The 17,819-nt window shown below is 35.3% G+C and overlaps 1 long non-coding RNA gene across 4 annotated transcripts; it reads right to left on the minus strand.

Moving 5' to 3' along the window:
• Positions 1-5,007: 5,007 nt before the first annotated feature.
• LINC02305 (long intergenic non-protein coding RNA 2305) lies at positions 5,008-16,918 on the minus strand. 4 transcript variants are annotated; one of them, NR_184185.1, is made up of 3 exons: positions 16,612-16,918; positions 15,519-15,612; positions 5,008-5,262 (listed from the first exon to the last, which is right to left on the minus strand). It is a non-coding gene; the product is annotated as a long intergenic non-protein coding RNA 2305 (long non-coding RNA). The 4 variants fall into 4 exon arrangements; NR_184183.1 differs by having other exon boundaries at positions 16,550-16,918; NR_184184.1 differs by lacking the exon at positions 5,008-5,262 and adding an exon at positions 8,443-8,752.
• Positions 16,919-17,819: the final 901 nt, after the last annotated feature.

Consider the following 17,819-nt stretch of genomic DNA (forward strand, 5'->3'; position numbering starts at 1 on the left):
TCCTCTAGCTATGAAACAATGGACACTTTCTATAACTTTCCTGTGCTGCAATTTCTTCATTTATAAATAGAAATAATAGTAGTTCCTAACATACAAAAGTGGTTGTGAGGATTAAAATAGATGAAAAATATAAAATGCTTATCCAAGTGCCTGGGTTCTAGTAAATACTCCATAAATTTTAGTGGCCATAAAGGTGACAATTTACCAATACAAATTGCTTATCCAAGTGCCTGGGTTCTAGTAAATACTCCATAAATTTTAGTGGCCATAAAGGTGACAATTTACCAATACAAATTGCTAGTGGAGTTTCATCTATCATGAACGGAGAACATAACTAGGAATCTGCTGGATTTCTAAAAATTAAGATTTGCAAATATATCACAGCACATGGGGAAGACCTTACCATACTTCATGCTGTGTTACTGATTTCAACCAAAACTTTCTCAAAGCTTTCTTTATTGAATAACATACGTGCACTGTGGACTGTCCTATATGCTCTCAAGGACACAAAGATGCACCAGTCAGCCATCCTAATGATAAGATATTGCTGTTTAGTTAGAGAGATTGCCTGTGGATACATGTGGCTCTATTACAAAGGCTCGATTTCAAGAGAACAGCTGTCAAGATTGATTCTGACGTCTCTGCTTAGATCTGTACTCCACAGAGAAAGCATTCTTAAAACATCTTACCACTGTGGTTAGATACTTTAGCAAGTCATTCATTTTTTAATGAAGTTGTTAATTCACCACACCTTTATTTACAGCTTTATGTATGTCAGGTTTTGTGCTAGGCTCACCACTTGGACATATGGGATGAAAGAGCAAGAGAAGGAACTATGGAAAAATCAACTCCACTCAAGCAGATTTTGTGTAATTTTCCTGTTTAATAACTATTAAAATATTAGCAGATAGAAAAGTGTCTCCTAGGTGCCCCTGGACAGAGTTTGTCCTACTTGTTTATGTTCTCATGGAAGCTGTGTTTACCTGAGTCATTGCACTTAATCATCTTATATTATTATTGATTCATTAAAAAAAACTATTCTGCTACATTCTCCAACATGTTTTGTTTTTTATATGCTTAGACCAGCATGGAAGCTGACATAAATCAAGTGCTTTATTAATAAGAGATTAAATTATTTATTCTAAAAGAGGGAGGAGGAGGAGGTAAATAATCATGAAGGAGGACTTAGTATTCAGGCAGAACTTGCATAAGACGAGGGAATAGACAAGAGAATATGGTGGGGGAAAAAGCTTCCAGGCAGATGGAAAATCCAGAGCTAAAGCACACATGTGGGGAAAGGAATATTTGCTGAAATTACAAACAAGTCAATTTGGCTAGGGTCTAGTATATATAAACGCAAATCAGGTAGCATTTAAAAAGGCAAATCCCATTTACATCATGGAGGCTCATAAATGCAAGGCTAGGGAATCTCTACCTTAATTGTTACAGCTTAGGAAACAACACTCCATGATTCTTCATTGCCTCTGGCGTAATCTGTCGACAGTGTATAATTTGGAAAAGACATGGGGGAGTTTCACTGGCATCCAGATATATTAATTCAAATTACTCTCTGGTTAATTCAACCCTGATATACTTTAATCCATTAATACAAATTTCTTTCTTAGTTGTTTTGATACATTATGAATATGCCATTTAGCTGAATGTATTATGTTTCATGTTTTAGATTATTTACTCTTAAATGAGCAGTTAAATGTACCTGCTGTGTCCAATAGATGCTAATAAATTTGATCTGCTTACATACATTGAAATATCTTGGAAAATATGAGATATATGTAATATCAAAAAGTGATGAGTAATAAAATTAGATCATAATATGTAATACTTAAATTGAGAATATTATTTGTTTTCCTAAACATACTCATCAAATACTCCATACAGGTCAAAGTAAAATGGAATCAGAAAGTGAAGCTTGAGCTAAAGCTACACGGTGCCACGATAACTTTAAGGAAAGGTAATATAGAAACCAAATCTACAGTTTAAGGTGATTCTGGGCACTTGGTTGAAAAATATGCCAACAATATGCTGGTAAGAAAAAAAATCCTCTGAAACATCAAAATGCTGCATGATTCAGATACGTAAAAATAGACATACTATGTATGCCTATAGGGAATACATTTTTGATGGCTGTCATGGGAAAATGCAATGCCTTCTCTATAACACTTGTTTCAATATTGATAAATTTCAAAAACATAATGTTGCATGAAAAAAGTTGCAAAATTATTCTTAAACTTGAAAGTCATTAAAATTAGTTTTAATAGGTCCCATACAAAAAGTTTATTATATATTGATACAGAGATCTGTAATAAAATTATACACTTCTCCTTGGGAATGATATACCCTGACTTCAGAATCATAACTGTCTATGAGACGAATAGGAGAAATATTAAAAAAGGGTGCTGGGGATGTAGAGGTATTGATGTTTATTTGTTTTTTAAAGCTAATATCTGTGTGTTATTAATACAAAACAAAATAAAATACTTAAAGCAAATGTGAGTTATTAGGGGAAACATCATTTTCAAGGCAAAACACTGATCTTAACCTCTTGCCCCCCGAACATTTAAGGTGCCCACTTCCCTTAAATCAAAGACATCCCACTTAGCTTTTTTCAGAGGCAAATTCTTCCAGGTTGCATGATACCTTTGCCTCCAGAATCAAAAGAAGCTGGACACTTTTATATCAAGAAGATAAAAGAGTAGGAAGGAAAGAATAAAGGGAAGAAATTTGGTTTTGCCTTTGGAGGCAATACATAGCCTGCATTTTAAAATATGTGTGTGTGTGTGTGTGTGTGTGTGTGTGTGTGTGTGTGTGTTAGAAATGATTATCTCTATTAGTACTATATTACATTTTTATGTTTTTGCCATATTCTTCTATGTTATCTAATATTTCTAAAATGAGTGTGTATTACTTTTACCATCAGAAAAGAAAATACATTTTTAAACAGTTATAAGAAGATTAAATGTTAATGTAGAGAAAATAAAATGTTATGTAACCTATACACACTCTTAAAACTCAAAAAATAAAAATAAAAAAACAAACAATCCAATCTTAAAAGTGGGTTAAAAAACCTGTACAGACACTTCACCAAAGAGATATATAGATTGCAAATAAGCAATACAAATTTACAAAGATATTTGACACTGTTTCTCATTAGGAAATTGCAAATTAAAATAAAAATGAGAGACTACTACATACCTATTAAAATGGGCAAAATCCAAAGTACTAATAACACTAAGTGCTGGCAAGGATGTGAAGCACCAAGAATTCTCATTCATTGATGGTGAGAATTATAAAATAGTACAGCCACTTTGAGAGACAGTTTAGCAGATTCTTACAAAACTAAGCATGATCTTGCCATATGTATTAGCCCATTTTCACGTTGCTGATGAAGACATACCAAGACTGGGTAATTTATAAAGCAAGGGAGGTTTAATGGACTCACAGTTCATGTGGCTGGGGAGGCCTCACAATCATGGCAGAAGGCAAAAGGCACATCTTACATGGTGGCAGGCAACAGAGAAATGAAAGCCAAGTGAAAGGGTAAACCCCTTATAAAACCATGAGATCTCATGAGACTTATTCACTACCATGAGAACAGTATTGGGGAAACCACCCCCTGATTCAATTATCTCTCACTGGGTTCCTTTCACAACACATGGAGGTTATAGAAGCTACAATTCAAGATGAGATTTGGATGGGGACACAGCCAAACCGTATCACCATAATATAGAGAAATTGTGCTCTTTGATATTTACCAAAATGGGTTGAAATCTTATGTCCATACAAAAACCTACCCAGGAATGTTCATAGCAGCTTTTTCATAATTGCTGAAACCTTAAAGTAATAAAGATGTTCTTCCGTAGGTAAATGAATGAATAAACCATGGTATATCCAGACAATGGAATATTACTTACTGCTAAAATGAAATAAAATAAAATTGAAAAGATATGGAGGATACTTAAATGCACATTACTGAATGAAAGAAGGAAATCTGAAAAAGCTACATGCTATAAGATTCCCACTATTTTTCATTCTGGAAAGGGCAAAACCATAGTGACAGTGAAAAGATCAGTGGTTGTTAGGGGTTAAGAGAAAAGGAGGGATGAACAGGCAGAGCACAGAAAATTTTTAAGACAGTGAAACTATTCTGTCAGATACTGCAGTGGTAGATACAGGTCAGTTATACACTTGTCAAAACCCATAGAATGTAGAACGGCAAGAATGATACCTAGTGTAAACTATGGACTTTGGGTGATAAAGATGTGTCAATGCAGGTTCATCAATTGTAACTGACATACCTCACTGGTGTTTAAATAGTGGGGAATGCTGTAAGAGTGTGGGGGAAGAGAGTTTATGAGAACTTTCAGTACTTTCTGCTCAATTTTGCAGGGGAACTAAAACTGGTTTGAAAAATAAAGTCTAATAAAAATTACGTAAAATATATTATTAGTGTCTTAAAAAAATTATACAATCCACACACATCACTACCTTTGTCCTTCCTCCTTTAGTGGAATAATTTTATTTTAAATTAGTTCAAATCAGTGAATGTTCATTAAGTTGCATGGATTTTGTTGGACTTGATTTCTATCATTTTGAAGCTGAGGCATATTCTCACTCTGTTCTATTAAATTTAACGCATTTTAAAGCCATATTAATACATGAACTGTAATATAATGGTAAAAGTGACAGATCCCTCTCTCTGAAAAAGCTCACAATGTCATAGGAAAGACTGTAATGTACACAAGTAAGTTCCAGTATCATAGAGTTTGCACAGTAATAAAAGCTTTACCCTGTACAGTAACTACTCCTAAATGGGCCAGTCAGGGTGAAAAAGGCTTCAGATAAATTTAAAATGTTAATATCGCAATGTCAGAGAATATCCTCTTAACAACCTCATTTCTGTATAATCTAACAGACCCAGAAGAGAGAGAACATTGTTCTCTTTCTACAAAGTAGCCAATTTGACAACACTGAAAACTCAAACATCTATTTGTTTTAATTTAATATATTTTTATTTCCTGATACATTTGGTAGAAGAAGAGCTTAAAGAGGAAAGAAATATTTTTTCTCAAGTTAAATGGTGGGGTAGCCAAGGCTGGTTCAGAGAATCCTCAATGTTTTCAGTACCACAGGCTCCTTCTATCTTTCTTTGCATTTCAACATGCTTTATGTAGCTCCATTGATCAAGATCGGCTCCTGGTTACAACAAGGAGTCCTTGTAACTTCAACCACCATATCTTCTTCCTGGGTGACAGAAAAAGAATACAGTAGAGCCAAAAAGCTTTCTTTTTAAATAAGTTGTTTCTTTTTAAATAAGTTGTTTGTTGAAGTGTATCATTCATGTATAAATAGTGCAAAAATCGAAGATACCACCTCAATTATTTTTTCCAAAATGAATTCATCCATGTAATCAACACTCAAGAAACAGAACAAGGTCAGGCGCGGTGGCTCACGCCTGTAATCCTAGCACTTTGGGAGGCCAAGGCGGGCAGATCACGAGGTCAGGAGATCGAGACCATTCTGGCTAACACGGTGAAACCCCATCTCTACTAAAAATACAAAAAATTAGCCGGGCGTGGTGGTGGGCGCCTATAGTCCCAGCTACTCGGGAGGCTGAGGCAGGAGAATGGCGTGAACCCAGAAGGCGGAGCTTGCAGTGAGCCGAGATCACGCCACTGTACTCTAGCCTGCGTGACAAAGCGAGACTCCGTCTCAAAAAAAAAAAAAAAAAACAGAAACAGAACATTGCCAGCACCCAGAAGACTCTCATGACCCTTCCCAGTCACTGAATCGCTATACTGCCTTCTCAAAGTACAAATTAATTGTACCTGTTTTTTAAATTTAACTAAATAAAATGGTACAGTATATGCTCATTTGTGTCTTGCCTTTTGTATGCAACATTACAATTGTGTGTTCAGTCATGTTAATTAGTAGGATGTTATTTATTTGCCAATGTAAAATAGTATGTCCTTGTGTGCAGTAAAATTTTACCATTTTACTGTTACTAGGCATTTAGGTAGTTTCCACTTCTAGGCTATTGCAAGAAATACAACTATGAAGATTTTTGTCCACGTCTCTTGTATATGCCTGCAAGTGGAAAACCCTGAGTCATTGGCATATATTAATCAATTTTCTCAAGAGGTTGTATCAATTCATATTTGAACCAGCAGTAATGAGATAATTCCAGTTGCTCCACATTCTTCTTAACACTTTGTATTTTCTACCTTTTATTTGTCTTTTGGTAGAGGTGTGATAATATTTTATCATGATTTTTAACTCATATTTCCTGATGATTAATAAGACTAAGCCACAATTTTATGTTAAAGAGTAATTAAAATACTCTCTTTTATAAAGTGACATCGTATTTTTACCATTTTTCGTTGTAGTATATGATTTTTCTTATTGATATGTAGGATGTTTAAAAAAAAGCTCTATATGGGCCAGGCGCAGTGGCTCACGCCTGTAATCTCAGCACTTTGGGAGGCCCAGACGGGCAGATCACGAGGTCAGGAGATCGAGACCATCCTGGCTAGCACGGTGAAACCTCATCTCTACTAAAAATGCAAAAATAAAAATAAAAAAAAAAATTAGCCGGGCATGGTGGCGGGTACCTGTATTCCCAGCTACTCGGGAGGCTGAGGCAGGAGAATGGCGTGAACCCAGGAGGCAGAGCTTGCAGTGAGCCTAGATCATGCCACTGCACTCCAGCCTGGGCGACAGAGAAAGACTCCATCTCAAAAAAATAAATAAAAAATAAATAAAAATAAATAAGCTCTATATGAGTCCTTGATGAGTTACTACATTAGATATATGTATTGCAAATGCTTCACATTATTAGTTACTTTTTATACCCTTAATTGCTTCTTTTAATAGGTAGAAATCCTTAAATCTGAATTTGTCTATTCATCATTTCTCCTTCATAGTTACTGTTAGTGTTACATAGTTACTCTTGTTTTATAAAATTTGTCTATCTCAAGGTCATGAATAGAATATTTCATCATATTTTTCTGGAATCTTTATTGTTTCATAAGCCATCAGAAATTACTTTTTGTATATGATGTGATGTACAGTAAAAATGTATTTATTTCCACATAGATATCCAATTGACCTAGCACCATTTATGGAAAATAGCATTTTTACTCACCAGACTGCAATGATACCTTTTCTATAAATCAGGTGACCCTATATGTTCAAACTACCATTTCAATCTCTTTTCAATTTTATCTGTATATTTATCTATTGTTACACATATTTCATATAGTCTCAATTATTGTAACTTTACAATAAATCTGGGAGTATAAATCCTTCAGTTTTATTTTTTTTTATTTCAAAATTGATGTAGCTATTCCTGGCCCTTTGGATGTAAATTGTAGAATATGCTGTGCAATTTCTGCCAAAAGAAAACCTGATGTGATTTTTATTTAATTTATGAATTAAATTGGGGGAAACTAACATCTTTACAATAGTGATTTATGGTTCACTGTTGTGAACCATGGTTGGGAAACTATGAATGTGATCTGTTTTATTTTGTCTTTTTTAGTTTATCTAAATAAAGTTATGTTTTAGTTTAGAAGACATGTATTTTTTTATAGATTCATTTCTGCATATTTGATGTCTAAAATGTTGTTGTTGATATATAATAAATTTTAATATTTGTTGCTACTGTAAATAAATGTAATTGATTTTCATATATTGACCTTGTACTCAATTACATTGTTAAGTCCATGCATTAATTCTAATACCTTGTGAATAGATATTTCAAAAAATTTTACATGCAAAATCATGTCATGTGTAAAAAATATGTTTTGTTTCTTCCCTGAGATTCCACATCTATCTGAATGTTTTCCATATGCTGAGCATATTTATCATTTAGGAATGATACAGGCCATGAGAACCATAAACCACTTCTAACAGTGGCTTAAAGATATAGAGAATTATTTTCTCACATAGTAGACAGTTTTTGCGTAGCTGCTGCCATTGGCTCAGTGGTTCAAAAGTCAGAGTCAGGCCATCAGTGGTACTCTAGGCCTGTTCTTAATGCTTTCAATATGGTTGAAGCAAACATATGCATCACTTAAGATATTAGAGAAGAGAATGAAGCCATCTATATACGGATCTTTATTAAAAAAATCCCCAAAAATCTTAAACAAAATCCTTATGTCTTATTGGACAGAACTATGTAGCAAGAACATTCCTAGTTGTCAGAAAAATATAGATGAGTAATTTTATTTTTAAGTCCCAGTGAAGGAATAGATAGGGACAAAGTATTTGCAAATTACTTGTACATCAGCTAACAATTCCTGGCAGCTGAAGTTTGTTTTCTAATATTTTATTTTTGTTTTGGTGAAACTTTTTGATGATGACCAGACTTTGAAAATAGCTATTAAATAACTTGCTCACTATCATACATAATTACAGTACTTCTTTTAAGGTAATCATGAGTTATTTTTATCATATTATGCAATGTTGGTCAGATTTTTCCCATTCCATGTTCTCCTTGTAGAGTTATATTAAATTACAACGAGAAATGCATCATTGTGGAGAATCAGTATAGTTGAAAGTTGAGATTCTGCAATCATGAAGAGGGCTGTATGTGAGTCTTTGAATCACGTATTGTTTCTGTGATATTCAGCAAGTTATTGCATCTTTCTCAGCCTCAGTTTCCTCTAGGCATCCTGCTCTACATTTTATGAGATTTTTGTAGCTACCACATGTAAAACAGTCAGCATACTTCCTGGAAATGGTAAACATAAAAAATTAATAAATATTGTAAATATCATTATGATTATTTTATAACAATTGCATTAGGTCTCCAGAAAAATTATAATTTTTCTGAAATAAGGTAATGCATAAAAATACAAAGAAATATAGTAAAAACAAGTCACTGATCAAAGGAAAATAAAATACTAACAATAAACAATTATATCTTTTCTATAATTTTAAATAAGCAAATATTTAAGGCATTTAAGTGGCATAACTGGAGAGTCAGAATGTTGGCTGAAAGTAAAAGCAAAGCAATCAACAAAGTCATGTGAATTTCTATCCATTTGGCTACATCTCTCTCTGTCTCTCTCCCTTTTAGTTCTTTCGATATAACTGTAACACAAATTTAGGTAAAATAGCAATGAGGGGGTATGAGAATCTGATTAAAGCTATGCACACTCATTGCATAAAAGTATATACATATGTATAAACACATTTTGGTGTGTAATTTTAGAGATTTTGATATGTGTACACCCACACACACACACTTTGGTGTGTAATTTTGAAGATTTTTTTCTATATTGTGGAATCTAGAGGTGCCATGTATGGCAGAATAAAGCCTGTGAGTTGAATACATCCTCTTTTAGGCCATGTTCTTACCTCTAGAAAAAAAAAAAATGTGCTACTGCTATTTCTGTCCATTGGCATTGTTTACTAACTGAAATGAAACAAATACTCTGAAGCCTATGACAAAGCACGCAAATATGAAAGTATTTCATAGGTAATCAGTGAAAAGGAACATCATTCCAAGGAATCTGAAAACCTAATTCTTCTGACATTTTATGCATGGCATTTATTTTCTCTCCTCACTACTCACTCATATTCTAGCTTCCTGTACCAAACTATTGACAGAAAGGAGAAAATATCTCTTTCCTAGAAATTATATTTTTGTATGACTATCCTCTATAATTCCCTCCCTGTCTGTAAACTGTACATTCTAGGCCATGAAATATTCAACAAACACCATGGTGATGCCTTTTCTTCTAGACACCTCTATTTTACAAAACAGATTGTTTACAACTGTGTTCCTCTTCTGGCTAATGGGCACCCTGGGGAAATGTTGTTGGCTTTGAGACTCACCACATATTTCCAACAAATAACAATCCTAAAGCCAATAAAATCTGATAGCAGCAAATATTATTCAGTGATCTCTGAATGGAATAGGCTCATATTTCTCTTCCCCTTGGGGTATGAAGGAAAAGGACATATTGGGATGTGTGAACTGCAGCCACATATAAGCAAATGATTTCAAAAAGTAGTGGAGCATTTCATGTTCTTTGGAGTCAAATGGGAGTCCTACCCTGTCAAGCTTAGTTGCAGTGGTAACGGGTTTCTCTTTGGGGACCACAATATACATTCATTTGCTTCCCATTTGTTTTGCTGATACAGCAGCCATACCCTGGCAGGTGCTGCCGGGGACTGCCAGAGCGATGAAAGCAGATATAAATTACACCATTCTATTGGGTTCTCAGACCAATAGCAAGAATTAATGTTGCCCCATGAAGATCAAAGTGCTTCCTAGGAACCTGGGGAAACCAATACATCACTGATGGTGCCAGCTAGGATTCTGTTTGAAAACAAAGCTTAATGAGTAGCAAGATGAGAAAAGGTAGGGAAGAAAACTGCTAATAAAAAAATCAGAAGTGTTCTGGATACTTGGGTTTAAGTATTTTAACCATGCTGCTCTTTTCATATTAAGATAGATGTATATTCAGTTCACTGTCATTTTAAAAAATTTAAACATATATTTACTGTGCACCTACTGTGTGCCACACACTAGGGAAAACATACACAAAACATAGTTTCTGACATCTAAAGCTTAGAATCTAATGTGGGAAAAAAGGAGTAAATAATTATTCCCAAAAATGATGTATTTGGTGATAGGTTAAACACAGAATGCTGTGAAAGCAACAAGAGCGGCACTTGTCACAACCTCAGGGAAGTTGACAGAGGAGACCTAGACCCAGGACAGGTGGCTGCTAAGTCAAATTCTAGAGGATAAGCAGAGAGAAGCCAGAAGAATTATGGGGAGATGAGGGGAATGATGAAAACTTACAAAAGCTATTATTTTGTTCAAATTGGCAGAGTACACAAAATAATTGTGTGGTAAAGGAAAAATAGAAAAAAAAAGGATCATCCAAGAATGCCTTAATTGCGGTATAAAGTCTAAAATAAGGACCCAGTATATGTGTTCTTTAATATCTGGGGAAAACCAAGATGAACTCAAATGTCCTAGCCCAAGTGCATCTCGCCATTGTGGTCTCATGGACAAGGTATCATAGCCATACCACCTTCTTTATCATGGAGACCAAGAACAGTGGTTGCTTACATCCGTGTAGAAGATTTCAGTTTCTTACCAACCCACAAAACTATTGAAACAAGCCAATCACATCTTCCTGTGGGAACCAAGCTTTACCCTACCCTCCTAATACTATAAAGCCTAACTCCCATAGCCCCTGCTTATTCACCTATTTCCCAACAGCAATCCATTCATGGTCCTGCATAGCATGGTGAGTCATCATCCCCCAAGATGTGAGTGTATGTCACTAATAAGCTGCCATGGACCTCATCTGTCCAGTGTTGTATGTAGTGTACTCAACCATCTTCATAACTCTAGGGCAGGAATTCTTCTTCCACCAATGAGGTGAAGAGGATATTAATAAACACTACCTTGGGAAACAAGGTGTTATTATTTCTATTGTTGTACAAGAGAATGTTCAAGGACAAATAGGTTTATTGTTTGTTTATTTGTTTGGTGAGAGTGAAGGTGGGGGTTGATGAGGAAACTAGAAATTTAGTTTAAGCACATAGCAGTGGTTAAGCTTGTAGAAAATAAAAAAGTGGATGCAATTTGCTTATATGAATGTGGAGAAGAGAGAAAAAGAAGAGAGCATGCAGATGCACGTGAAAACATTTGCAGGTTGCTTGATTGGAAATGAAGAAAATTCCTGTATAGCAAGTTCTACTTTCTACTTGAGGTTTAGAACAAGGGTTCTGATATGGTTTGGCTGTGTCCCCACCCAAATCTCATGTTGAAGTGTAGCTCCCATAATCTCCACATGTTGTGGGAGGGTCCCGGTGGGATGTAATTGAGTCATGGGGGTGGGCCTTTCCCATGCTGTTCTTGTGATAGTGAATAAGTCTCAAAGATCTGAATGTTTCAGAAAGGGGAGTTCCCCCGCACACGCTCCCTTGCCTGCCTCTATATAAGACGTGACTTTGCTCCTCATTCACCTTCCACCGTGACTGTGAGGGCCCCCGAGCCATGTGGAACTGTGAGTCAATTAAATCTTTTTCACTTATAAGTTACCCAGTCTCAGGTATGTCTTTATTAGCAGCATGAGAACAGACAAATACAGGATCCCTGAGAATGATGGAGGATCTAGTTAGACAGGAGATCTGGGGAACATACAGCAAGTTGAAAATGGCTAAATAACTATGGCGAAGAATAAAAACATGTATCTCCTAGGGCAGCTGAGTTGCCACCACCAAAATATTTTATTCTTTTTTATTTAAAATGGACATAGATTACTCACACTAGGTAAAAAGTCACAATCCTAGCTTCAGAATCTTTGTAGGATAAATGAGAAGGATGCTAAGGAACTTGATGAAAATAGCTCAGACCAAGACTTTTGGAATTGTGTATACTAATACATATGTGTCTATATGCTGACGTTTATATTGCTCTGATGTATAGCAGTTTATTGTTAATTTGTAAAAGATTCTTGATTTAAATGCTTTGTGGGTGTATATTATCTTGTATGATATGGTTAGGCTTTGTGTCCCTACCCAAAGGGACAAATCTCATCTTGAATTGTAATTCCCAGGTGTTGAGGGAGGAACCTGGTAGAAGGTGATTGGATCATGGGGGAAGTTTCTCCCATGCTGTTCTCACGGGTGAGTGAGTTCTCAGGAGATCTGATTGTTTTACGTGCTTGGCAAATTCCTCCTTCCCTCACTCTTCTCTCTCCTGCCACCATGTGAGGAAGGTCATTGTTTCCTCTTCACCTTCCACCATGATTATAAGTTTCCCGAGACCTCCCAGCCATGTGGAACTGAGTCAAACCTCTTTCCTTCATAAATTACCCAGTCTTGGGTATTTCTTTATAGCAGTGTGAAAATGGACTAATACATTGCTTTTCTCTAAAGGCAATCCCTGGAAAAAAAAAATGCTTGGAGATAAGAATTGGTATCAGAAGAAGAATAAGGAAAAAGAAGGAAATAGGTGCTTTCTTGAAATGTAGAAAGTGTCTATTAAAAAATAAGATAAAAAATGGTAAGATTAATAATGGTAAAAAAGCCTTGATATGGAGAAAAAAATGTTAAATGTGATGTAAAGCAAAGAGATATGCTTCATGATTTTAAATGTTTTCTCTTAAAGTTTTTCTTTGTTGCTGTGGAAAGAAAAGTTGCTTTTTATGTTCATTTATAATGATATCCCATTTATCTGCACATAACTGAAAGGTTAAGGACACACTTCCAATTTAAATACAAAGAAACAACCAAACAAAAACAAACCTAAAACCTAAGCAAACTGGCAAGAAAAATAACAATAAAACTGATTCAAAAAAATCCTGAACATTATGTGTCAGGTGTTGTGGGTTGAATTATGTTTCCCCTAAAAGAAGCTGTGTATGTTAAAGACCTAAACCCTGAGACATGTGAATGTGATCTTATTTGCAAATAGGGCTTTTTCAGATACCGTCAAGGTAAGATGAGTTCATATTGTATTAGAATAAGACCTTTTCCATGATTTGAACTCTAAAAACAGAAAGGAAATTTACACACAGAAAAAACATAGAGAAAATACCACGCGACAGTAGAGGTAGAGATTTGGGTGATATGTCTGCAAGAATTTTTGGCATCTACCAGAAGCTAAGAAGAGGGAAGGAGAAATGCTTCCCTTGAGGCTTCAGAGAGTACAGCCCTGAGACTCCTTGGTTTCCAAATGCTATCCCAGAGAACTGTGAGAGGATACATTTGTTTTGTTTTAAGCCAACCAGTTATAACAGCCCTAGGAAACCAGTGCATTGGTGAAACATTCAAAAAGGCTTTCAGAAAGCCCAGCAGTGACATGAGACAAGCCTCTTTTCTGAGTTGCTTATTTGTTAAACCAGATGCTCTTGCTTTCTGAATCATTCTATTTTTGCTGAGGTTTTCATCACCAAAGACCTCACCATTCCTTTTTGTTTTAGAAATGCCTCACTTCCAAATTCTATAATCAGAGCACTCCAGGATTAGGCCAGCATACAAATCATTTCTACAGATTCAGAAACGTGTCTGTGTCTAGACTTAAAAGGGCCTTTATAAAGAATGAGCTCAGGTCCTCAGAAAACTTTTCCATCCAAACAATTTACTCAGCCTCAATTCAACACATCTCAGTTTGTAGGTTTTCTGCATGCCTTCCCCATTGTTTCACATTTCTGTATAGTGTCTACACAGGAAAAAGGGAAAATTGACAGAAAAAAATGGAGAAAGGAAGAAAGAGAGGAATAGGAAAGGTGGGAGAAAGGGAAGGGAGAAGAATTTTCTTCAAAAAATTAATGGACAGCTTTGGCTGAAATCAAATGCTTGTTTTGATCAATTTACATCAGTAAAACCACAATAGCTATCCTTATAGTACTAGAAGATGATGGAGAATAAAGGTGGGGTGTGAGGCAAATAACATTTTACCTTCTTATGCACCACAGTACATCTTTTTTTTAAAAAAATTGCTGTTAATAAGACATAAAATGACAATGAAAGAGCTACTTTCAATGCAGGTATCCTTTGAGTTCTGAGCAGTAGTTTAGCAAGAATATCACAACCTCAAAGTATTTCCTTGAATTCAAAAGTATGAGTTCAAATATTTAAAATAACCCCCTCCATTTTATTCCCATAAGGTCCTGGCTGTATATAACCCATGTATTCAACTCTATCAACCCAAACCTGGAAAATGGTATGAACAATAAAGTAATGAAAAGTGCCCAAGTCTTTCAACAGATGAATGCTGCAAAATACAACATTCAATGAGTATCTATTATATTATTACATCCTGGATTAATAAGAATGTGTGCCCTCTGCAAGAAGATGAGATGTAAAAGAGATTTTGAAAATCTTCCATTTTATTCAGCGATCCCCTCATATTATTTGTGTTCTTATTCATGTTTCTTCTCTCCTTTCACTCAATCAAGCTTCCTATTTTAATGACATGATAATTTTTAAATGACATATCATAAATTCCTAAGGATGCAACACTTCTCCAAGAATGCAGGTGGATTATTCTGTTGTCACTTTAGTCTGGATGAATATCTAGAGGATCCATATATCATTGACCATAATTGCAAGCTAAATTGTTGATACAAAGCTAAAACTTCTTTGAAACATTAGGCTGAATTTAATCTAGTTCTTCCTACTCAGCTCCTTGACCCCTACTGGGAGATATGTCTGCTTTGTAAAATGAGCCTAAATTTATGAATCATCCACTTGACAATCATGTAAATTAATGGCACTTGATAAATATGCCTTTTGCAATTGCAACGATGACTAAACTGTGTATTTTGTTAACTGCACCATTTATAGCTCACTGATTTTGGATTGAACACAAGTTTATTTGTTCTATAAATGTTTTCAATGCCATTTCTCTGTCTTTGAGTTTAAAATAACTTTATCTATCCAGGGGACTTCTTTATTGAACACTTTTTAAAGCCCTCATCAAATATCATCTCTTATCAAATTTTAATACAATTTATGTTTACCGCTCAGTGAAGACACAGCCAGATAAATTAGAACAAGAAGTCCTTCAGCTACATCCAGCTTCTGATTAGTTGGATATCACTCCAATTTGTCTCCCTAGAGAATAAGCAACACAATAATAGCTGAAACACCACTCTAGGAAACTGATGCCCTATTTATCTACCCTCCTGTTAAATAGCTTTTATTTCCTTGGAGTCAACTTTAACCAATCTACTTTGACATCTGCTCCCCGGTTATATCCTAATACCTATGTCATCCCCTCTCAGTCATCAAATTGCTTAGGTTCCAGGTTGATAGGATTTCTTTCCGCCCCACTCCTGTCATTATCCTGAGATTTTTCCATCCCTGATGATAACACATACAGCTGCCTAGCCTCATCTGTTCCATAGGCGTCTCAACCAATGGCCTCCACTTCTAATCTTTTCCAACCCTTTCCCCATAGTGGCTATTGGCTTCTCCATCTCTAAAATCTGAACTTTGTTCTTTGACTACAATCACTAATATTCCACTTCATCACTCACATTAATTTTTTTTATATCAATAATTCTGGTACTTTACTTGACCACATTCTGATTGGTATCACCCTTTTTTCTCACTGGGACAATAATTTACTGTTAGATAGCCTTGTCTAACATTTAATCATCTGAATCTTTTACCAACTCCACCAAATTCTGAATTTCATTGATTCTCTCTTTCTCAAAATTTCTGATCTTCAAGAGATCCTAAAATTTAACTTTCTCTCTCTCTCATATAGAAAACCAGTTGAGAAAAAAGTATATTTTTGTATGGATTGGCATCACAGAACAAGTTTCTTTTCTATCTGTGTCTTCACTGTCATCTGTCAATATCTTTACGTGGTCCTGGTCAACACTTCCAGTCTTCTAAGAAGGTAGATTTTTATCAAAGTCTTCAGAACTCTCACTCTAAAACCTAGTACATTAATAAGAAATTTATCTGTGAGAAGTTGTGAAGACATCATGTGTATATAACCTCAGTTTCCTGTCCTTACACCTACACTCTCATCTGCAATCACCTTAATGTTCTCTTTCTCTAAGATCTTGATAGGAACCACTATCGTCTGTTTTCCTTTATCACCTTCTTCTTTTTGTTTGATTTTTTTTTCTGACCATATCCTTTCCTTTGGCCTCTTCTTTTTGTTTGATTTTTCTTTCTGATCACAATAGCATGTTCCTATCCCTTGAATAAATGTAGGAAATCATCATTGAATACCATGCATTCCTATGTGGACTACTACTTATCTTTAAAATGAAGATTCTTAAAAATTTAAGTGACTCTTGGTTTCAGTACTTCTTGGACTTTATCCTCTCCAAAGCCCTGTTGGAATATGCTTTTTTGTCATCCCTACCACTTCCTGGAAAGCAATAATGTGTCAGTCACAAATGGTTTTAAAGCTCCCAAAACTGACAGAATCATGTGACACTTCCACATTCTTTGGCATAATTGACATTCTATGTCTCCTCAACATTCTCTTTGATCTTCAACAGGAGGCTTTTTTGAGTTTGCTTTTGTGTTAATAACTATTACCTTTTATACGTTTGCAGGATGTTCTATTTCTATTCCCCAACTTCATGTGGTTGACTTTAGGTTCTGAACAAGGTTCTGTTGTCTATTCATATGCATGTTAATCCCCTTAGACACTTTGAATGACTTCTGACAAACATCTCACCTTTGCTCCAGATCCTTATATCCAACTACCTACTGCATGTCTTTGCTTGGGGATGTACACCTCAGTCAAAACTTTACGATCTCCCTAAATTATTTGCACCTTCCACTCCACCACACTGAAAAAAACAAAAGGCAAACAAACAAAAAAACTTCCACCATTTATATTCCATATGAAAATGTTTGATGTAATCACATAATTGCAATGTTAACCTTGGTGGTAGTATCCTAAGAAAGATCCACCTCTATGGTGGGAGAAATAAGTAACTGAAAGAAGTGGTTGGAAACATGCCACCTCCTATCCATTTGCAGTATGAGAAGAAGGCCTGGCGTTCCTCTTTTCTCTATTGCTAATTGTCTTAGCTGCAATTTTCTATCGTTTGTGGCACAGAGGTTTAGGAATATTATTTTAATAGGAAGAATAATCCCAAGAAGCAGGTATAAGGTACAAGGGCATAGATGAAGAGATAGCTCATGCTAGAATGTTATCAACAGTCAAGTTTCTTCAAGTATGATGGATCAATCAGTTCTTTGCTAACTCCTAGAAAAAAAGTCTCAGGACTTTTGTGGGGTTGATGGAGAGAAGAATATAAAGATTCCCCTCTAGTATTGGTATTTAC

This window comes from Homo sapiens, chromosome 14 (assembly GCF_000001405.40).
Source record: "Homo sapiens chromosome 14, GRCh38.p14 Primary Assembly".
NCBI classification, from domain to species: domain Eukaryota; kingdom Metazoa; phylum Chordata; class Mammalia; order Primates; family Hominidae; genus Homo; species Homo sapiens.